The sequence below is a fragment of the Homo sapiens genome, chromosome 5 (genome assembly GCF_000001405.40).
Source record: "Homo sapiens chromosome 5, GRCh38.p14 Primary Assembly".
In the NCBI taxonomy this organism is placed as follows: Eukaryota; Metazoa; Chordata; class Mammalia; order Primates; family Hominidae; genus Homo; species Homo sapiens.
In genome coordinates, this window is record NC_000005.10 from 150,074,508 (window position 1) to 150,095,766 (window position 21,259).

At 46.1% G+C, this 21,259-nt stretch overlaps 1 protein-coding gene and 1 pseudogene across 7 annotated transcripts in view, besides 17 other annotated features; one reads left to right on the top strand and one right to left on the bottom strand.

The window, feature by feature from the left end:
• Positions 1-21,259, bottom strand: part of CSF1R (colony stimulating factor 1 receptor) — a 60,071-nt gene that overhangs the window by 21,213 nt on the left and 17,599 nt on the right. For 2 of the 7 annotated variants that reach the window (NR_109969.2, NM_001288705.3), the window contains exons 1-5: positions 11,872-12,047; positions 6,260-6,517; positions 5,545-5,829; positions 3,605-3,741; positions 2,769-2,928 (exon numbers count right to left, since the gene is read on the bottom strand). Coding sequence is in view for 5 of the 7 variants with exons in the window: in NM_001288705.3 (NP_001275634.1) it covers positions 2,769-2,928; positions 3,605-3,741; positions 5,545-5,829; positions 6,260-6,517; positions 11,872-11,920 (889 nt within the window). In the remaining 2 variants the exon portion in view is untranslated. Of the gene's footprint in view, positions 1-2,768; positions 2,929-3,604; positions 3,742-5,544; positions 5,830-6,259; positions 6,518-11,871; positions 12,101-16,949; positions 17,055-18,029; positions 18,116-21,259 lie in introns of those variants that run through there. The other 5 variants (NR_164679.1, NM_001375321.1, NM_001349736.2 and 2 more) reach the window with 4 other exon arrangements.
• Positions 3,488-3,708: an enhancer, noted in NCBI's record as "CSF1R fragment used in the pGL2-Promoter reporter construct". NCBI's record gives its function as "activates an SV40 promoter by reporter assays in HEK293 embryonic kidney cells, with higher activity for the rs2228422 G allele in the absence of RORalpha {active_cell/tissue: HEK293}" and the evidence as "EXISTENCE:reporter gene assay evidence [ECO:0000049][PMID:25913741]".
• Position 3,608: a transcriptional cis regulatory region, noted in NCBI's record as "rs2228422 single nucleotide polymorphism affecting enhancer RORalpha responsiveness". NCBI's record gives its function as "allelic activity of the CSF1R enhancer in HEK293 embryonic kidney cells, where the A allele is sensitive to RORalpha presence and preferentially associates with RORalpha {active_cell/tissue: HEK293}" and the evidence as "EXISTENCE:reporter gene assay evidence [ECO:0000049][PMID:25913741]".
• Positions 7,031-7,831: a DNaseI hypersensitive site, noted in NCBI's record as "DHS-FIRE; the nucleotide coordinates are approximate for this feature". NCBI's record gives the evidence for it as "EXISTENCE:in vivo cleavage assay evidence [ECO:0001075][PMID:12773394]".
• Positions 7,031-12,352: a biological region, named in NCBI's record as "CSF1R promoter/intronic regulatory region". NCBI's record gives its function as "regulatory_interactions: CSF1R".
• Positions 7,137-7,778: an enhancer, noted in NCBI's record as "FIRE; 4143 to 4785 from exon 2". NCBI's record gives its function as "orientation-independent enhancer in macrophage cells" and the evidence as "EXISTENCE:reporter gene assay evidence [ECO:0000049][PMID:14530429]".
• Positions 7,238-7,447: an enhancer, noted in NCBI's record as "active region_23398". NCBI's record gives its function as "activates an Ori minimal core promoter by ATAC-STARR-seq in GM12878 lymphoblastoid cells {active_cell/tissue: GM12878}" and the evidence as "EXISTENCE:reporter gene assay evidence [ECO:0000049][PMID:35858748]".
• Positions 11,920-12,352: a promoter, noted in NCBI's record as "CSFR-430 promoter fragment". NCBI's record gives the evidence for it as "EXISTENCE:reporter gene assay evidence [ECO:0000049][PMID:7964503]".
• Positions 12,050-12,077: a protein binding site, noted in NCBI's record as "Pu-ets site". NCBI's record gives the evidence for it as "EXISTENCE:protein binding evidence [ECO:0000024][PMID:7964503]".
• Positions 12,050-12,077: a protein binding site, noted in NCBI's record as "PU-ets site". NCBI's record gives the evidence for it as "EXISTENCE:protein binding evidence [ECO:0000024][PMID:7964503]".
• Positions 12,076-12,103: a protein binding site, noted in NCBI's record as "PU.1 site". NCBI's record gives its function as "positive regulation of promoter activity" and the evidence as "EXISTENCE:protein binding evidence [ECO:0000024][PMID:8264604, PMID:8628293]".
• Positions 12,105-12,121: a protein binding site, noted in NCBI's record as "PEBP2/AML1/RUNX1 site; -75 to -59". NCBI's record gives the evidence for it as "EXISTENCE:protein binding evidence [ECO:0000024][PMID:7969146]".
• Positions 12,105-12,134: an enhancer, noted in NCBI's record as "region II (-88 to -59)". NCBI's record gives its function as "enhancer when multimerized" and the evidence as "EXISTENCE:reporter gene assay evidence [ECO:0000049][PMID:7969146]".
• Positions 12,119-12,134: a protein binding site, noted in NCBI's record as "C/EBP site; -88 to -73". NCBI's record gives the evidence for it as "EXISTENCE:protein binding evidence [ECO:0000024][PMID:8622667]".
• Positions 17,946-18,302: a mobile genetic element.
• Positions 17,946-18,579: a biological region, named in NCBI's record as "LTR-CSF1R promoter". NCBI's record gives its function as "regulatory_interactions: CSF1R".
• Positions 17,979-18,579: a DNaseI hypersensitive site, noted in NCBI's record as "-6197 to -5988 DHS region; the nucleotide coordinates are approximate for this feature". NCBI's record gives the evidence for it as "EXISTENCE:in vivo cleavage assay evidence [ECO:0001075][PMID:20436485]".
• Positions 18,104-18,265: a promoter, noted in NCBI's record as "-142/+14 core promoter". NCBI's record gives its function as "drives expression in Hodgkin/Reed-Sternberg (HRS) cells of Hodgkin's lymphoma" and the evidence as "EXISTENCE:reporter gene assay evidence [ECO:0000049][PMID:20436485]".
• RPL7P1 (ribosomal protein L7 pseudogene 1) lies at positions 19,778-20,607 on the top strand (annotated as a pseudogene).

Consider the following 21,259-nt stretch of genomic DNA (forward strand, 5'->3'; position numbering starts at 1 on the left):
TTGTAATACAGCTGCTCTTGTTGAATCTCAGGCAAGGGAATTGTGGCAAGAACCCCAATTCACTCAGCCTCTCCGTGCCTGTCATGGTAGCCCCTGACATGCCTTCTTAAAACCTCAGGGCTCTGCCACAAGCCCTGGACTAGATGATTTCTAAGAGCTCCTCTCCTTACTCTATTCTGTCTAAAAATCTGAAATTCACCCTTCTACACTGATATATGTCTACTCAAAAGCCCTCTATGGAGTCCCATTGCCTCCATTATTCAGCGTGGCGTTCAAGGCTCTCAATCAAATCAGGTCTCACTGTGCTCATCCAGCCACCTCCCCTCTTCCTTCCTACACACACACACTCAACGCTCCACCCATCTGGGTCTCCTAACATCCCTGAACACACCATAGTCATTCCAACCTTGGAGGTTTTGCTCAAGCAATTTCCTCTACCAGAAATCCCATCCTCCTCCTTTTCATTATAGAGGCCCCTTTATCCTTTAAGATTCACCCCCATGAGGGAGTCTCTACTCAGTGCTCCAGGACACAGGAACCTCTCACTCCACTCGACTTTTGCTGCCCTTCCAGACTACACACTCATTAGGCACCACATCTGCACTGCTTCATGCATCTGGTTCTCCCTCCAGGTAGCTTTCTTCTCTCTCCAAGTAGTCTGTGAGCTTTTGGGGGCAAGGCTTTTCTCTTCTCTGTCTCTCTCAACAATCCATCTATCTATTATTCATCCATCCATTAGTCCATTCATCCATCCAAACACCAACAACTTCCTGCTGCCTTCACCATTACCACTCTAGTCCACCCACCATCAGCTCCAGCCTGGACCACTGCGGTAGCCTCCTTTCATCTCACCTTCCCACTTTAGCTCTCTGACCTCATCTGAGACCACTTTTTTTCTCACTCTCTCCCCGCAGCCACACTGGCCCACTTGTCCCCTGAACATGGCAAGCACAGTCCCGCTGCAGGATGGAGCTCCCTTCTCCAAAATGGCCGCATGGCTTGCTCCTTCAGCAATTTAAGCCTTTGCTCAAATATCAGCTTTCTAGTGAGATCTTCCTTGGTGAACACCCTATCTGAAGCTGCAAATGCTATATAATTTGTTTTTTTAATAATTTACTTGGCTCATTGCTTGCCCACTCCCAGCTAGAGCACACACTTCATGAGTCGGGGGTTGTTGTATCTGTTTCACTTGCAGCTGTATCCTCGATGTCTAGAACAGTGTCTGGCCCAAAGTGTGAATGAACATAAACATTTCTTGAGTGATGACTGTATGCCTGTACTAGAAAGCAGACAGGATTAGAAGCCGTAACTGAATTCTTGTGCTTTTGCTCTTCTTCCCCTTTACCCTGCCAAAGCTCCCAGTGCAGATTGGGGTCCACAGCAGAGCTCACAATCTGCTGCAAGTCCAGTGCCTTGCACATACTCTAGGGGCAGTGATGCTCATGATTCTCATGCTCCTCGCCACCTCCATCTCCCATAACATTCAACACATGAGGCACGGCCAGACCTAAATGTCTCAGAGCCTGCTCCCACTCCGATGAGCTGCTGCCTTGCTTCAGGGTCTGAGTCCAGTGACTGCCACTGCCTGCACCCAATCACCATAGCCAGAGACCTGGAGGTCATCCTTATCTCCTTTCTCTTCCTCATCCCTGCATCTCAGACTCTTCCACACACCACTGGCCATCTTCAGCCCATTCTCCAGCCTCCAGGTTCCCACCCAACCCACATGGTGCCAGACTGAGCCTTCTCAGATACTATCTCCTGGTGCACACTTGGACAGCATTTCCTGTGTCAGACCCTGTTCTAAGTACTTCCTATCTATCTATCTATCTATCTATCTATCTATCTATCTATCTATCTATCTATCTAATCTATCTATCTTCTATCTATGAAGGCAGTTACTGTTAATATCTTCATTTTACAGGTAGGAAAACTGAGACACAGGGTGGTTAGCAACCTGCTAGTCCTTGGCAGACTCAGGTTGGAACACTGCCCTGGAGTGTGTGCTCCTGACCACCACGAAGTGCCTCCTCTGTACAATCTGACCCCATCACTCTCCTCTTTACAATGACCTCCCAATAGGTTAAGATGCAGTTATTCTTTCTCACTTTAAGACACCTTTACCTCCGGCTTCTGCCACCTCCTCTGCTCCCCTGTGGCCACTCCTCACACCACTCCACATCCCAGCTGTTGTCAAGTTCTTTCAGTGTTCCAAATGATCTATGTTCTCTTTGCCTTTGAGCCTTGCATATGTTCCTCCCTCTGCCAGAAGCGCTGTTCCCCTTCCTTTCCCACCCTTCTGCCCGGCCAACTCACCTTCATTCTTCCCATCCCAGTTTAGAGGCCACCTTCTCGAAGCCTGGGTTGGGGGGACTCTTCAGTGTTCCCAGGACACCTTGTGCTTCCCCCATAATCACTGGGTGATCATTGTCTTTTCATGTTTCCATAAAGGAATGCATGAAAGAATGAACAAATGAAGTCCAGTAGGGAGCTACTGGACCCCAATCCCCAAATAAACAAAAAATGGCACTAAGGTGCACCCAATGCAGCCATGCACTGTAAGAGCTCCAAGATGGGAGAGAGATCCCAGGAGAGGGTAAGGGAAAGCTCCTGGAGAGTGGCTCCTTAGCCAGGCCTTGGATAAACAAACTCCAGCAGAGATATCCTCAGCAGGTCTCCTTCCCTGACATCAGCTTCCTCCTCAAAACCCTTCTGCTCACACTCCTGCAGGATCCCTACCGACTGTCCACCACCACCCTGATGCTTACCTACCACCCGGAAGAACATGGAGGTGGAGTGCTTGCCCTGCACGTTGCTGGCCACGCAGGAGTAGTTGCCGGCATGTTGGAAATCTACTTGATCGAGGTTGAGGGTCAGGACTTTTTGGTAACGGTTATTATGAAAGTCAGATTGTTGAGGGATTGCGAGCTGCAGCCAGAAGGAATGGAGATGTTATACCAAGGTAGTTTAGGGATTAGAAAGATCTGGGTTCCAATCCTCAGCCTTTAAGGATTACTATCTGCCTTTCCTCTGAGCCTGTTGCTTCACTTGTAAAATGGGGCTAATACTGGCTCCCTGCCCCAAGACTGTAGTGAGGAGTAAATGAGATATGCATGCAAGTGGCTTAGGGCTGTGTCTGGAACACGGCAGGTGCAGTGGGAAGGGAGGGGGCTCTTAGAGGCAGCCCAACGTGAGTCCCTCCTGGAATCCTCCCTCCTCCTCCCTCTCTCCCAATGTCTTTCTGAAATAGCTGTTATATTCCTGGGCTTCAATGGTGGCCTAGGAAACCCTTGCTAAATCAGAAGTGAGCTCACCTCTGGCTTTTGTCTAAAGGCTGGGGCAAAGGCCATGTGTCAAGGTGACAGAGAACCACCTCCCCCCACCCACCCCCACAAAGTTCAGCGGCACAAGCATGAGTCCTGATTCTGTGTCAGCTACTGACTGGGAGTGAGATCTCGGGTGAGTCTGCACCCCTCTCTGGAGTCTGAGCTGTGCCTTCAGCTAAGACAGCCAGTTTGGAGTTGGGGGCCCAGGACTCCACCATGGGAAACCTGGTGTGCTGGGAGGATGGCCAGACTTCACCTTGTGATCTGCAGGGACTGACCTTGGTGTTGTTGTGTTGGAGGAAGACATCAAAGTTAACATCAACGCTGCTGGCTGAGCACACGATCTGGGCAGCCTCCCCTCGAATCCGCACCAGCTCTGCAGGCACCAGTGTCAAGGCTGGGGGCCCTGGGATGACTGAGACCGGGGGAGAGACCCCTGAACACCCAGGCTCCCTGAACATGATAGAGATATTGCTCTCCTCCCTGCCATGGGCCAGGACACACAGGCCAGGGTCCCCATCACTGCCCCATCCCAAATCCTGGGAGGCAGCCTTGATGCTCCCAGTCCCCCCACTGCAAGGCCTGTCCTAAAGAGACCTTGGAAAGTCTACTTTCTCCATCACCTCTACCCCTCCCCAGTCCCGTCACCATTCTCCACTCTGGACTTCTGCACCAGCCTCCTCAGAGACCTCCCTGCCTCCCTCCAAGCCCCCCACACCTAGATTCTTCACTAAAGTGACCTCTTACAAATATAAATGGGACCATGCCTCTCTCCTCTGTAAACATTTGGGGCTTCCCATTACTCTCAGAAAAGAAGTCAAAGTCCTTCCACAGCCCAACCTGTTTCTGACCGCCCTGATAACCCCACCCCTTGTTCACTGCACTGCAGCCCGCTGGACCTCTTTCCTACCACAGGGCCTTTGCACCCACCTTTCCCTCCTGGAATGCCTTTCCTCCCACACTTCAAATGGGAGGCTGTTCTCATCCTTCAGATCTTTAGCTCAAAAATTCCTCAGCAAGGCTTCTGTGACCAGCTGATATGAATTAGCCTCCCCAGCACCTCCATGCCCGCCACTCCCCAGCTTGGTTTCTTGCTCATCACATTTGTATTTACTTTCTATTTAATAGTTAGACTCTAGTCGAATGTCAAATCCGTGACAGGAATATTCCAGCAGCCAGCAAGATGCCTGATGCACAGTAGGCCTTGAATTCATATTTATGCCCATTGCTGCTGTTGAAAGATAATCTAATCCAGATTCCTAAGGCCCAGGGACATGAAAGGACTCACCCAAGGTCCCTGAGGGGGTGTCAAGGCAGAACTAGGGCCCAGGACCTTTGGCTCTTGGCCAGCCCAGGGCTCTGCAGGATGAAATGCCAGGAAAGAGCCCTAATGGCCTCCTCTGCCCACACAGCTGGGGTCCTTTGACCCCCTGGGCAGGTTTAGTGGCTTCAGATCCCAGTGGCATTGGGCTAGCTGCTTCACTCTGACCCTGGCCCTTGTTACAGGGACTGATTGCTGTCTCAAGCCCAGGTCCTCAGGCTGGGGTCCTGCTTGCTCTCACCAGTCCTCCCAGAAACCAGAATCCTGCCTGCCATCCCAGCAGGGTGAGACTCCACCTCCACTGTTACCTGGCCACCGCGAGAGCCATCACACGCACCCACCATCTCCTCCCTGCCTCTTGGCTCAGCATCCCTCCTACACATGCCCAGCACTTGGCCTTAGGCAGGCCCCCAGTGGGAAATCCATGTCTGAGGCTGAGCTTCCGTCCTCTTTCCATACCTAGAACATTCAGAGCCTGTCCCCACCTCACCACTTGGTACTCACTGTCCCCCTGCTGAAGCAGATCTTTGCACAGCCACCTTCTTCATGTCATTCAGATTTCCGCTCTAATAAAGTGTTTCCTTCTCAGTGAGGCTCCCCGCCCTACACACTCCTTATTCAGCTACCATGTTGAATGTTTATTTTTGTAGCATGTCCAATGACTTGAGATGACCTTGCCCACTGAGTTATTTGCTCACATGTGGTTTGTCTCCCTGCCCCGACACCTTGTCAGTCCTGCCCCATAGATGATCGTGGAACCATTGAGGGGAAGAAGTGAAAGAAAGAGGACATCCCACTGCCCCCCATCACACCCAGTCCCCAGTCACCACCCATGTGGCCGCCGGCTCTCTGTCCCCACTCTTCAGGCCTGGCTGCCGGTCCCCATGCCCCACGCACCTTTCTGCACTTTCAGCCGGATGCTGATGGACATCACCTTCCTGCCACCCATCAGGGCACTGCATTGATAGTCCTGGCTCTGAATGAACTTGGCCCTGTGGATGGTGAAGCCATGCCAGGGCGAGAAGGAGTAGTTGGTGTGGCGCATGAGGGGCCGGCCACGCACACGCACCAGCGAGACGCCTGCTTCCAGCACCGGGTCTGTGAGCAGACAGGGCAGTAGTGCGTCCTGGTCCTCGAACACGACCACCTCCTGTGCTAGCACGTTCCAGGGCCGGGCAGGGTCTAGAGTAGAGGAGGGCACAGGGTTACAACTGCCCTCCCTCCACTGGGCCAAGGAGTACCTGGACATAGGTGACAAGGAAGCTCAGAGAGGCTGATCATTCATCTGAGGTCACACCACGCCAGGACAGTTCAGCGGATGCTTCAGCGTGGTGGCTCCAGAGTCAGGCGCACCTGGGCTCCAGTCTAGTCCCACTATGTGAGGCTGTGTGACCTTGGATAACCTCCCTGCACTTCTAGAAAATGCATCATCATAGACCCGACTTGCAGGGTTGTTGTGAGGACTGCATTACATTAGCAGCTCTTCCAGGTCCTTGCTCATAGCCAGCACTCAGTAAATGCAGAGCTGAATTGTTACGATTGTTAATTTTAGGGCCCATTGTAGTGGGGCCTGCCGGGTCAGGCCTCTTGGGAGGAGGCTCAGACTCCTCACCTTTGACATAGAGGTGGATGGCGGCGCTGCCTCCCAGGGGGTCTCCAGGCTCAGTGCAGCGATAGGTCCCCGTGTTTTGGAAGGTAGCGTTGTTGGTGCTGAGGATGCTGCTGGAGCCATCAGAGTACAGGGTCCAGTGAGGTGATGGGGGGCCATCCCATTCCACGCTGCCATTGCCCACACATCGCAAGGTCACCGTTGCTCCTGGCTTCACGACCAGCTCAGGGACACTGGGCTCTATCACTGGGATTCCCTGACCTGGTGGGAGAGAGGGACAGCAGACAGAAGTGAGGTCTAGGATGCGCCCCTTGGGCCGTCCTGACTCTGAGATGGGTGGTAGCTTGGCAGGGATGGTGCTGTGCCATCAAGGGACCACCTTGAACGAGCCCCTGCCCCCTGGTCATTTGCTCAGCTCCTAACCCTCAACCTGCTCAGGGACAGACTGATGTCTCTGATGTCCAGGAGGTCCCTCCTCTGAGAAAGGGGGCTTGCAGCTTGCTCAGCCTCTCACCCAGGCCTCTGTCCCCCTGGGGTCCTCAGCCTCCTGCCTCAGTCTTCCCTGCTGTGATGCCATCTTTCTACTCCCCAGGAATGGACTCTTTTAACCCTGTGTACAAAGTGGACGTATTTCTACCACCGAATGAAGAAACAAATGAATGGAATGTTCACGGCCAAGTCCTCAGCTTAATTCATATGGGAAAGAAAAAAAAAGAGATGTAGGATCTTAGCCCAGCAGAGTTAGAGAGGTCCCAAGAATCTCCTGGTGTGCCCGCTCCCACCAATGGACATCTGGTCTGCAGCACAGTGGGATGGGGAGGTGCCATGCCTCAGTTTCCCCACCTATAAAACAGGGACAATCATCGTACCCACTCATTGGTATGTTAGGCATTTTAAATGCATGGGAAGACTTTAGAACATCACCTGTCACCAAATAAATGGCTCAGTAAGAGTTAGTCACTATGTTTATTACCTAGTCTACACCCAGCAGCTCACCCCGGCACCCCCACACATCTGTGTTTACTGGGAAGCCAATCTCTTTTAAGGAAAATTTTCTTGAAGGAGAAAAGAGAACTTGAAACCCCTATCAGGCTGTCCGGGAAGAAGGCCCGTTGCCTCTGCAGCGTCAGCATTTTTCCAGGGCCTAAAATAGGGGCAAAGGAGGGAAGTGAGAGCTGATTCAAGCCTCCGAGGGGCTGCCAGGCGCCCCCCAGCCTGTGTGGGCGGAAACACATTGTTGGCGTCAGGCTCAGCCCCCGGTTTCCGCTCAGCCTGTGGCCCTTCTACAGGGATGTTCTCACTTCTGCTTCCCCAGCCTCCTAGCCACTCTCCTCTCTCCAGGCAGGGAGAGGGAGTGCCACTTGCGGGGCAGCTGTGAGGCTGGGCTCTGACGCTGACCCACTGGCTGACCCTGGCCATCCAACTCCTCAGCTCTGGCCCTTCCTCTTCCCAGTGATGGGGGCACAATGACAGGCCAGCCCCGAGGGCTTTCGGTGAATTCAGGGTATCTCCATTGTTCTCTGCAAACCCCCTTGAAATGGAAATTCCCCCTGCCCCACCATAGAGCCCAGAATTGGAAAGGTTTCCTCTCTCAAGTCCTTTCAGGATGGCTTAATTCACGTTTTGATTTTGTATTCATCAGAATGTGCATCCCTTCTCCCCAAGACTCTGATCAGCAAACGAGATTGAGTGAATTGTGAATACTGCCAAGCCTGCCACCTGGGGTTGTAGCCCTCCTATGCAGTGCAACTGCCAGGAAGAGGGACAAGTGTCATTTCTAGCAGCCTTTTTAGCAAATCTCAACAGAGCTGGGGCTGCCCTATCACTGCTGCAGCAATCTAGGGCCCCCAGGCCGGGGTTTTATAGCAGGAAACAGCTTGGAGTGTGGGCTCACACCAACTTGGGTTTGGATCTTGGTTCTTCCCTTACCAGCTGGGTTAGTTTCTTAACCTCTTTGAGCCTCAGGCTATTCTTCTGTCTGATGGGAATAATCCCAGCTCCCACCCCAAAAACTTCAGCTGAAGGTTGAGTGAGATGATGTATAGAACTACTCCTGCCCTGGGCACCTGCTTTAATTGCTACATTTCTAATGTCCCTTCTGGGCCAACTCTGATCGCTCAAGATTTTAACCTTGGATTCTGTGATTCCATTTGTTCCTTTTTTACACCTGCCTCACACCTTACAGTGGGCTTCTCCCATCCCTTCCCCCAGCCTGTCTCTCTAGACCCTGCCTTGGCCTCCAGGAAATGTGGTCAGGGAGCGGTGTCTGCCCTATTTTGTCCTATCCTATTGTCCCAGGTATTCACGCAGGATAAGGCTGATACCCGCAACTTCCGCAGCCAACTTCCCCTGCTGGCTTGGCTAGCAGGGAAGGAAGCCGGCTTGGCCCCCATCCTCCTCGGGGTGGGGGCATGGGCTTATGAACATTAACTGAGGTCCCCTTCTGTGCCTGTCCATTCTTCCCCCCTCTCATCTCCACTCCCCAATTCTCCCCATGCCCCACACCTCTCCACTAGCTCCCACTTGCCTGGAAGCCCCTCCCTCATCACTTCCAGAATGTGCCCCAATCTCTACTCTTCTCTCCCAACACACACACACACACACACACACACACACACACACACACACACACACACACTGCACACTAAGGCTGGACACAGCCCCTCTTCAGCCCAGGATCTCATCGCAGTAATGAAGAGAGAGCCCCCCTCTCTCTCTAGGGTCCTCCAATACCATCCCCAGTCTCCTCACAGTGGCCCCTCATCCACTCATCATTGGTCTGTTGGGCTGAAAACTTAGGTTTCCAGCCTCCCCATCTCTTCTTTCTCTTGGGACTGGACCCTGGAAAACCATCTGGCCCCCCTCCCACACACCATGCCCCTGTGAAGGGAAAATAAAAACTTGGGACCCTAATTCACTCTGCCAAAAGGAAAAATCAAGCTGGAAACTGAGTCATGCAAGAAGCTGCCTTGCCTTTTATTCCTAAGCAGATAGCGACAGATAAAAGGTAAAATATCCCACAGGCAGCTCCTCTATGTTCACTTTCCCTATGTAAAGAGCCAATTTACTGAACCGAGATAATTGACTGTTCCCCTACCTGCTGCTTTTCTTTTGCAACATGTGGATTACCACAACCTCCCCTTTTCCCCTCCAGCCCACTTTCCCCTTTAAATATTAAAGCCCTCGAATTCATCCAGAATGGCACAGACCACAGAATGTTTTTGTGACTCCATGTTTTTTTCTCGCCAGCATGTCCTTAACCTTGGCAAAATAAACTTCTAAATTGATTGAAGCCAGGCACAGTGGCTCATGCCTGTAATCCCAGCACTTTGGGACGCCAAGGCAGGGGGATCGCTTGAGTTCAGGAGTTCGAGACCAGCATGGCCAGCATGATAAAACCCTGTCTCTACCAAAAATAAAAAAATTAGCTGGGTGTGGTGGCAGGCACCAGTAATCACAGCTACTCAGGAGTGGCAGAATTGCTTGAACCCCGGAGGCGGAGGTTGCAGTGAGCCGAGATCCATGCCATTGCACTCCAGCCTGGGCAACAGAGCAAGACTCGGTCTCAAAAAGATAGAAAAAAGAAAGAAAGAAAGAAAGAAAGAAAGAAAGAAAGAAAGAAAGAAAGAAGGAAGGAAGGAAGGAAGGAAGGAAGGAAGGAAGGAAGGAAGGAAGGAAGGAAGGAAGGAAGGAAGAAAGAAAGGAAGGAGATGGAGTCTTGCTCTGTCGCCTAGGCTGGAGTGCAGTGGCATGATCTCAGCTCACTGCAACCTCTGCCTCCCGGGTTCAAGTGATTCTCCCACCTCAGCCTCCTGAGTAGCTGGAACTACAGGAACCCACCACCACACCCGGCTAATTTTTGTATTTTTTAGTAGAGAGGGGGCTTCACCATATTGGCGAGGCTGGTCTGAAACTCCTGATCTTGTGATCCACCCGCCTCGGCCTCCCAGAGTGCTGGGATTACAGGTGTGAGCCACCATGCCTGGCCACAAGACTCCATCTCAATAAAAAAAATAAAATTAAATTGAGACCTGGCTCAGATACTTTTCCGTTTTTGCCCCACAGGCAGGTTGTGGGTGTAAGGATAGGACAAGGCAGTGAAATCAAACCTGTGGGACTCTCTGAGATGAAGGGGGTGGCGGGTACACTGTGTGTGCATTTGTCAGACCTCATTGAACTTAAGAACCTGTGCTTTCTACTGCATGTAAGTTACATTGCAAAATAAGAAGTCCAGGCCGGGCGCCGTGACTCACACCAGTAATCCCAACACTTTGGGAGGCCAAGGCAGGTGGATCACCTGAGGTCAGGAGTTCGAGACCAGCTTGGCCAACATGGTGAAATCCCATCTCTACTAAAAATACAAAAATTAGCCAGTCATGATGGTGTATGCCTGTAATCCCAGCTTGGGAGGCTGAGACAGGAGAAACACTTGAACCCGGGAGGTGGAGGTTGCAGTGAGCCGAGATTGTGCCACTGTACTCCAGCCTGGTGACAGAGAGAGACTCTGTCTCAGGAAAAAAAAAAAAAAAACCCAAATACTCAAGCTCAGTGTGATTGCCTGGGCCAGAGAAGGATGGTCAGTGGGCCATCTCCTCCTCATCAGGGACCAGAAGCGCCACGGCCTTAGGGTCCTTCTGTGAAGAGGCCAGTATGAGGCTGTCCTTTCTCCCCTTCAATCCCCATCCTCCCCCAAGGTCCCTTTGAATAAGCAGGCAATAGAAATGTGTTTGTTGGGCCAACAAGCCAAGCACAGCAGCCCCTCACCTCTAGTCATGTTCCCTCCCAGATGGAAATTCTGCAGAACTGCTACAGCCTGGGGACCTCCTGAGACTTGGCAGCCTGTGTCTGGGAGGGCTCTGGTCCAGGAGACCCTCACTGGCCTCTTCCCAATCCCTCCTCTAGCCCTATACCTATTTCACCCCGAATTCCCCTCTCCTGAGCCCTGGGCCAGAGAGGCCAACCTCTTGTCTCTCCCCTCTGACCCCTTACACAAGCCACCCAAGGAAGAACCACCACCCCTATCAGGCCCTTCCAAATCAGATCTTGCATAGAATCATCGAATCACAGGCTGGCAGAGCTGCCAGAGCCATCAGGAGCTCTCCAGGTCCTCCCAACTCAGTGTAGGTCTGGACCAGCAGTGCCGGCATCTCACATCTCCCAGGAGTGTGTTGGATATACAGAATCTCAGGTCGCACCTGAGACCGACTGAGTCTGAATCTGCATTGTAACAAAATCCTCAGGTAACTTGTATGCACAGGAAAGTATGAAAAGCACTGCTCTGGTCTAGTCTATCACTGTCCCCCTGCCCCCAACACCTGCAATTGAATAGAAGTGGACACTGAAGCCTCAAGAGTATCAGAGGCTTGCTCAGGACACACAGTGAGTCGCTGGCAGAGCTGGGACAGATCCACAGCACCAGGTGGACCAGTTCCACCACACCCATCTCTTTTCACCCCACTACCTCTCCAAAGCAGATACCCACAAGCCTGCAGTCCAGTGTTGGGGAGACTAAAACAGCCTGAGGACACCCAGTGAGGGGCAAGGACTGAATCCTTTCACAGGGGTCTTCTCCATCACACCCCAACAAAGTCCCCCACCCCCCGTTCTGCTCTTACCATGCCAAGCTGTGGCCACCAGCAGGAGCAGCAGAACTCCTGGGCCCATGGCCTCGGTGGGGAAGTGGCAGGCAGGTGCAGGGCTGCAAGGTGCCCAGGGCACAGAGCTCTCAGCTACTAGCTCCGCAGGGATCGGGACACTGGACACACGTTCCTCTCCTCTGCACTGGCTGTTTGTCTTGTTTTCCTCTTCCTCCTCCTTGGGCTGATCCTCTTCTTCCCCTTTTAGCTAGGCAAGGCAACCACAGAGTTTGGAAATCTTGGGTCTTTAAGAAGAAAACAAAGCCTTGAACCCAAGAGGGAGGGGTCGCAGTCTGGGGCAGGGCCAGCCTGAGCTTGGGGGGAGCTAGCTAAGTTTGGGGCCCTTCTAAAGCCATCTTCAAGGGGTCTTGGGAGAAGAGACATGTCCAAGAGCAGCCAGACCGTTAGTCAGTAGCACAAATGAGGGTCTTCAGAGTGATCAGGTGGCTCTGGCAGATCCCAAAGAGAAGTTAGGTTGCATGATATTGTGACATATATATTTTTTCTTTACCCTGATGTCCTGGCTTACAACTCCTAAAATCCTTGGAATCTCCAAAGTAATGCATATCTTTTAAAAATTTATTATTATTATTTTAGAGACGCAGTTTCACTCTGTTGCCCAGGCTGGAGCTCTGTGGCTCGATCATAGCTCACTGCAGCCTCAAACTCCTGGCTCAAGCCTTCAAGCTGTGAGATCTGACGTTATCTCTAGGTAAATATAGTGTTCAAATTGAATCGGAGGGCACCAGATTCGTGTCTGCTGCAGAATCTGAACAATTGGTTGATTGCTTGGTGTATGGGGAAATATGCCCCATCCTCTACATCTGGGGTCAGAAGTATTTTGTGTTGTGAGACTATAGGAGAAACGGAGTTTGTTTTCTTCCTGTATACAGGTTGGTCTGGGAGAGCCTGATAATATTGGCAATAAGCTTCCTTTTACAGGACATTTACTAGCCAAACCTTTTACATTCACTGTCTCCTTTAGTACTGCAAAACTTTATGTAGGTAAGTACTATTGTCATTCTCATTTCACAGATGGGAAAACTAAAGCTCAGAGAGATCAAATGCCTTAAGCTTGTCCATAGTCAAACAGCTACCAAATGGTGGAGATAGGATTTGGATCCCAGCAGTCTGGTTATAAAACTATCTTTTGTGCGTTACTTACATTGTTTATTTATTTTTACAAAGAATCTAATTGTTCTGCATAATTCTTAAAATATATAGCATTCCTTTGCTCCCTCTTTTCCTGGAGGCAATTGCTTTTACCTCTTTTAGTTGATTCGCTTAGTATTTTACTTCTTATCTCTAAAGAACATGGTCATTTCTTCTTCTTTTTTTCTTTTTTTTTTTCTGAGACAGGGTTTGGTTCTGTCACCCAGGCTGGAGTGCAGTAGTGTGATCTCGGCTCACTGCAACCTCCACCTCCCGGACTCAAGCCATCCTCCTACCTCATCCTCCTGAGTAGTTGGGACTACAGGGGCATGTGCCACCATTCCTAGCAAATTTCTGTATTTTTGGTAGACATGGGGTTTCACCATGTTGTCCAGGCTGGTCTCAAACCCCTGAGCTCAAGTGATTCGCATACCTTGGCTTCCCAAAGTACTGGGATTATAGGTATGAGCCACTATACCCAGCCTAAAGTTCCTTCTTGAAATTGAAAAATCCTGATATAACATTGATCCAGGAAAATGATCATTCCCGTGTACTCAGGTGTGTGTGTGGTGTGTATGTGTGTGTTTGTATGTATATTTATGAGTGTATATATGTACTTTCTTTTTCAGAAAAGTGTTTTGAACCTTTAGCAATCATGAATGTCAATCAAAGCTGACTCAAGAAGAAAAAGAAAATCCAAATAAACCTATAACAAGAAAAGAAATTTAATCAGTAATCAAAAACCTCCCGACAAAGCAAAGCCCAGGACCAGATGGCTTCACTGGTGAATTCTCCCAAACATTTAAAGAAGAATTAATACCAATCCTTTTCAACTCATTCTATGAAGCCAGCATTTTTCTGGTACCAAAGCTAGACCAAGACATTGCCAGAAAAGATAACTACAGACCAATACAAATGCATGAATATAGAAAGCAAAAATTTTCAAAAATGTACTAGCAAACCAAATCTTTTTTTTTTTTTCTTTCTTTCTTTCTTTTTTGAGACAGGGTCTCACTCTGTCACTCAGGCTGGAGTGCAGTGGAGCAATCTCGGCTCACTGCAACCTCTGCCTCCCGCGTTCAAGCTATTCTCGTGCCTCAAACTCCCGAGTAGCTGGGATTACAGGCATGCGCCACCATGCCCAGCTAATTTTTGTATTTTTAGTAGAGACAGGGTTTCACCATGTTGGCCAGGCTAGTCTTGAACTCCTGACCTCAAGCAGTCTGCCCATCTTGGCCTCCCAAAGTGTTGGGATTACAGGCGTGAGCCACTGCACCCAGCCACCAGCAAACCAAATCTAACAGCATATTAAAATGATTATATACCATGATGAAGTGGGATTTGTCCAAGAAATACAACAGTGGTTTAACACATGAAAATCAGGGTAATACATCACATTAATAGAATGAAAAAAATCCTCATATGATCATGTCACTTGATGTAACTGTAAAACCCAACATGCTTTCATTAAAAACAAAACAAAACAAAACCCACCCAACAAACTAGCAATAAAAGGGAACAGCCTCAACGTGATTAAGGGCACATGTGAAAAAGCACAACTAATTCAATGGTAAAAGACTGAGAGCTGGTCCCTTTACATCAGGAACAAGACAAAGATGCCTGTTCTCGCCACTTCTGTTCAACATAGTACTGGAAGTCCTAGCCAGAGCAATCAGGAAGAAAAAGAAACAGAAGGCATCCAAATTAAAAAAGAAGAAGTAAAACTATCTCTGTTCACAGATGACATGATCCTATATATAGATAAATCCTAAAAGATCTACAAAAAGCAACTATTAGAGTTAATATACAAATTCAGCAAACCTGCAGGATACAAGATCAACATACGTAACTCTATAGTACTGATAATACTCCAATAAGGAAATTAAGAAAACAATTTAATTTGCAATAGTATCAAAAATAAAATATTTTGGAATAAACTAAGGAGATGCATGACTTTACAATGAAAACTACAAAACACTGTTGAAAGAAATTTAGAAGACCTTAATAAATGAAAAACCACCTTGTTTTCATAAGTTGGAGGATTTAATAAGACAGCGGTACTCTCAAAGTGAGACTGATTTATAGGGTCAATATAATCCCTATCAAAATCCCAACAGCCTTTTTCTGCAGAAATGGAAAAGCTGATTCTCAAATTCATATGGAATCTCGAGGGACATTGAATATGCAAAACAATCTTGGAGGAGTCACACTTTTCAATTTCAAAACCTACTATAAAACTACAGAAATCAAAATAGTGTGGTATCAGCATAAGAATAACTATATGGATCAATAGAATAAAATTGAGAGTCAGGAAGTAAACTCTCACATTCATGGACAACTGATATTCAACAAGGGTGGCAGGACCATCCAATGGAGAATGACCAGTTTTTTCAACATAGGTGCTAAAAGAACTAGATAGTCACATGCAGAAGAATGAAGTTGAATCCTTATTTTACATCACATATAAAAATTAACTCAAAATGAATTAAAGACCTAAATATAAAAGCTAAAATTATTAAAACCTTAAAAGAAACCATAAAGGTAATATTCATGACCTTGGAATTGGAAATGATTTCTCAGATATGTTTCTAAAAGCACAAGCAACCAAAGAAAAATTGGACATAATAAAAATTAAACATTTTTGTGCATCAAAGGACACTGTCAAGAGAATAAAAACACACAGAATGAATATTTATATCCACAATAAATAAATATATCCAGAATATATACAGAATGAAAGTTGTAGTGTTTCCTCAGCAAAAATCACTCTTGGTGCATAGTTCTATGAGTTTTGACAAATATATATAACAATGTAACCACCACTGTAGTCAAGATATAGAACAGCTCCATCACTCTAGAAAATGTTTCTCATGCTGCTCCTTTATAGTAAAGCCCTCCCCAAACCCCTTACACCAAACAACCACGGATCTGTTCTCCATCCCTGCAGTTTTGCCTTTTCCACAATGTCTTTGTGCTTTACAGGATAATGTCATATAAATGGAATCATACAGTGTGTAGCTAAAGAATGTATGTAGAATCACGCAATATGTAGCTAAAGCCACTCTATTGTCCCTCACAATTAATAAATATTTATGGGAAAATAAATTTTAAAAAAGAATGAAAGTTGTAGTGTTGCCTACAACAACAAAAAAACAATTAAATTTAAAAATAGGCAAATTCAAATATTGCATGTCCTCACTTATAAGTGGAAGCCAAACAAAGGGTCCACACGGATATAAAGATGGAAAGAATAGACTCCAAAAGTGGAAGGATAGAAGGAAAGGGGAAAGGGCAAAAAGGAAGTGAAAAATTACCTATTGGGTACAGTGTTCAGTATTTGGGTACTGGGTACACTGGAAGCCAAATTCACCATTATGCAATGTACCCATGTAATAAACATGCACATCTACTCCCGAGTCTAAAATAATTTTTTTAAAAAACAGGCAAAACATTGAATAGATATTTCTCCAGAGCACATGAAAAAATACTCAATATCATTAGTCATTAGGGAAGTGCAAATCAGAACCACCTTGAGATACCACTTCATATCTACTAGGATCATCATAATAAAAAAAATCGGATAACAAGTGTTGGTGAGGATGTGGAGAAATTGGAACCTTTGTACAATGTTGGTGAAAATGAAAAATGGTGCAGCTGCTATGGTAATCAGTTTGACAATTCCTCAAAAAGTTAAACATAGAATTGTCATATGATCCAGAAATATCACTTCTAGGTAAAACCAAAAGAATGGAAAACAGGGACCCAAATAAATACATGCACGCAAATATTCAACGCAGCACAATTTACAGTAGCCAAAAGGTGGAAACAGTTGACAGCTAAACAAAATGTGGTGTGTCCATACAATTGAATATTATTCAGCTATAAAGGGAATGAAATACTGGTACCTGCTACACTGTGGATGAACCTTGAAAACACTGTGTTAAGTCAATGAAGCCAGTAGCAAAATGTCATACGACTCCATCTATATGAAACATCCAGAACAGGTAAACCTGTAGAGGCAGACGGTTGACGAGTGGTTACCAGGGGATGTGGCAAGGGAGAATGGGGAGTGATTGCTTATGAGGAGGTGGTTTTGTTTTGGGGTGATGAAATGTCTTGGAACTAGATAAAGGTGATGGCTGCCCAGCATTGTATTTGTCCTAAATGCCGTTGTACACCTTAAAATGGTTAATGTTTAATTTTATGTTATGTGAATTTTATCTCAAAAAAAGAGAAGGGATAAAGATTATCTTTGACAAACAAAAACTAAGAGAATTCATTGCCAGCAGACCCATACTACCAAAAAAAAAAAAAAAAAAAAAAAAAAATCCTAAGGGAAGTTCTTTAGGTAAAAGGAGTATGATACCAGCTAGAAAGTTGGATATACATTAAAAAATAAAAAGTGCTGGAAATGGAATAAAGGTAAGCATAAAAAATATGATTGCTTTTTAAATGCTTGAAAAGATAACTATTTAAAACAGACATTGAAAAATTTTTTTCCTGTCAAGGACCAAATAGTAAGTATTTTAGGTTTTGTGGCCATACGGTCTTTGGGGCAACTGCTTAATTCTGCCATTGCAGTGCAAAAGCAGCCATAGCCAATACATAAACTATTGAGCACGCTATGTTCCAATCATACCTTATTTACAAAAACAGGAGGCAGGCTACATTTGGTCCACAGGCTATAGTTTGCCAATCTCTGATTTAAAGCAAAAGTAGTAGCAATGCATTGTATATTTATAGCAGATTAAAAGTGAAACATATTGTTGTCATACATTTCACTTTCACATATGCATTTACAGCAATCTCCACAGGGGATACATTCCAGTAACCCTGGTGTATGCCTGAAACTGCAGATAGTACTAAACCCTGTATATGCCATGTTTTTTTCCTATACCTACTGTATTAGTCTGTTCTCATACTGCTAATAAAGACATACCCAAGACTGGGTGATTTCTAAAGGAAAGGAGGTTTAATTGACTCACAGTTCAGCATGGCTGAGGAGGCCTCAGAATCATAGTGGAAGGCAAAGGAGGAGCAGAATCACATCCAACATGATGGCAGGCAAAAGAGTATATGCAGGGGAACTCCCATTTATAAAACCATCAGATCTCGTGAGACTTAATCACTACCACGAGAACAGTATGGGGAAAACTGCCCCCATGATTCAATTATCTCCACCTGGCCCCACCCTTGACATGTGGGAATTATTACAATTCAAGGTGAGAATTGGGTGGGGACACAGCCAAACCATATCACCTACATACCTATGATAAAGTTTATCAGTTAGGCAAAGTAAGAGATCAACAATAATAACTAATAATACAATAAGACAATTATAACACTACACTGTGATAAAAGCCACGTGAATGTAGTCTCTCTCTCTCTCTCAAAGTACCTTCATATTTTTGGACATGGATTGATCACAAGTAACTGAAATTGCCAATAAGGGGGAACTACTGCACTATGAAAAACGGGAAGAAAGGGTGTGCAGTCTACTCTTGTCAGGTCCTCATGCTATATTTATTTTTCTTGTTTGTTTTTTGAGATGGAGTCTCACTCTGTCACCCAGGCTGGAGGGCAGTGGCGTGATCTTGGCTCACTGCAACTTCCACCTCCCAGGTTCAAGCGATTCTCACGCATCAGCCTCCCAAGTAGCTGGGATTACAGACACCTGCCACCGTGTCTGGCTAATTTTTGCATTTTTAGTAGAGACAGGGTTTCACCATGTTGGCTAAGCTGGTCTCGAATTCCTGACTTCAGGTCATCTGCCTGCTTCGGCCTCCCAAAGTGCTGGGATTACAGGTGTGAGCCACAGCACCGGCCCTCATGCTATATTTAAAGTAACATTTTATCATTTAAAGGTAGACTTTGATTAATTTACGATGTAAGTTGTAAAACCCAGGACACTCCCTAAAAATTTTTCTCTCTTTTTAATAACTTAAAAATTTTTGAAGAGGTATAAATTATAAGCCAATAGTGGAAATGAAATGGAGACATAATACATACTCAATCCAAAGGAAGACAAAGATGGAAAGAAAGAAGACCAGATAGAATGAATAGAAAACATCTAACAAGATGGTAGAAGAGAGGATTTTGAATGTTCTCACCATAAGAAATCATAAATGTTTAAGGCAATAGACATGCTAATTACCCTGATGTGATCATTACACAATATACACATGTATCAAAACATCATATTGTACTCCATAAACATGTACAATTATTGAGGCCGGGCACAGTGGCTCACGCCTGTAATCCCAGCACTTTGGGAGGCCAAGGTGGGCAGGTCACCTGAGGTCAGGAGTTCGAGACTAGCCTGACCAACATGGCAAAACCCTGTCTTTACTAAAAGTATAAAATTAGCTGGGTGTGGTGGCAGGTGCCTGTAATCCCAGCTACTTGGGAGGCTGAGGCAGGAGAAGTGCTTAAACCTGGGAGGCAGAGGTTGCAGTGACCCAAGATCAAGCCATTGCACTTTAGCCTGGGCAACAAGAGTGAAATTCCATCTCAAAAAAAAAAAAAAAAGTACAATTATTATGTGTCAATCAAAAATAAAATAAAACTTGAAGAAACCTGGAGTAGCTGTATTAATATCAGACAAAATAGACTTCAGAACAAGAAATATTTCCAGGCATAATGAGGGACATTACATAGTGAAGACAGAATCAATTTTACAAGAAGACATAACAATCCTGGGTGTATATGCACTTTAGAACAGAGCTTCAGTTTTTTTTTCCGGCTGGAACCATGGAGGGTGTAGAAGAGAAGAAGAAGGAGGTTCCTGCTGTGCCAGAAACCCTTAAGAAAAAGCGAAGGAATTTCGCAGAGCTGAAGATGAAGCGCCTGAGAAAGAAGTTTGCCCAAAAGATGCTTCGAAAGGCAAGGAGGAAGCTTATCTATGAAAAAGCAAAGCACTATCACAAGGAATATAGGCAGATGTACAGGACTGAAATTCGAATGGCGAGGATGGCAAGAAAAGCTGGCAACTTCTATGTACCTGCAGAACCCAAATTGGCGTTTGTCATCAGAATCAGAGGTATCAATGGAGTGAGCCCAAAGGTTCGAAAGGTGTTGCAGCTTCTTCGCCTTCGTCAAATCTTCAATGGAACCTTTGTGAAGCTCAACAAGGCTTCGATTAACATGCTGAGGATTGTAGAGCCATATATTGCATGGGGGTACCCCAATCTGAAGTCAGTAAATGAACTAATCTACAAGCGTGGTTATGGCAAAATCAATAAGAAGCGAATTGCTTTGACAGATAACGCTTTGATTGCTCGATCTCTTGGTAAATACGGCATCATCTGCGTGGAGGATTTGATTCATGAGATCTATACTGTTGGAAAACGCTTCAAAGAGGCAAATAACTTCCTGTGGCCCTTCAAATTGTCTTCTCCACGAGGTGGAATGAAGAAAAAGACCACCCATTTTGTAGAAGGTGGAGATGCTGGCAACAGGGAGGACCAGATCAACAGGCTTATTAGAAGAATGAACTAAGGTGTCTACCATGATTATTTTTCTAAGCTGGTTGGTTAATAAACAGTACCTGCTCTCAAATTGGAAAAAAAAAAAAAAAAAAAAAGAACAGAGCTTCAAACTACATGAAACAAAACTGATAGACCCGAAAGGAGAGATATAAAAATCTCTTGTAACACCCTTCTCCCAGTTGTAGGTGGTACAAGTAGAGAGCAAATCAGCAAGGTTATAGAAAACCTGAATAAAATCGTAAATGATTGACCTAATTGATTTTTATCCACCTAACAATTGCAGAATACACATTCATCTCAAGGGCATATAGAACATTCACCAAGATATACCATATTCTATCACTTAAGATACATCTTTAAAAGTTTAAATAAGTTATGCAAAGTATTTCTTGCATCACAACAGAATCAAACTTGAAATTATTAACAAAAAGGTATCTGGGAAATTGAAAATATTTGGAAATTAAACACACTTATAAACAACCCAAGAGTCAAAGAAGAAGTCACATGAAAAATTAGAAAATATTTTGAATTGGATAAGAAAACAATGGTCTAAGGCTACCACCTTAAGAAACTAGAAAAAGAAGAACAAATTAAATCCAAATTGACCGTAGGAAGGAAATAAAGACACGAGCAGAAATCAATAAAATCCAGAACAAAAGAGTTAGGGAAAATTAATAAAACCAAAAGCTTTTTCACTGGAAAAAAAAGTAATAACATTTACCGAGAAA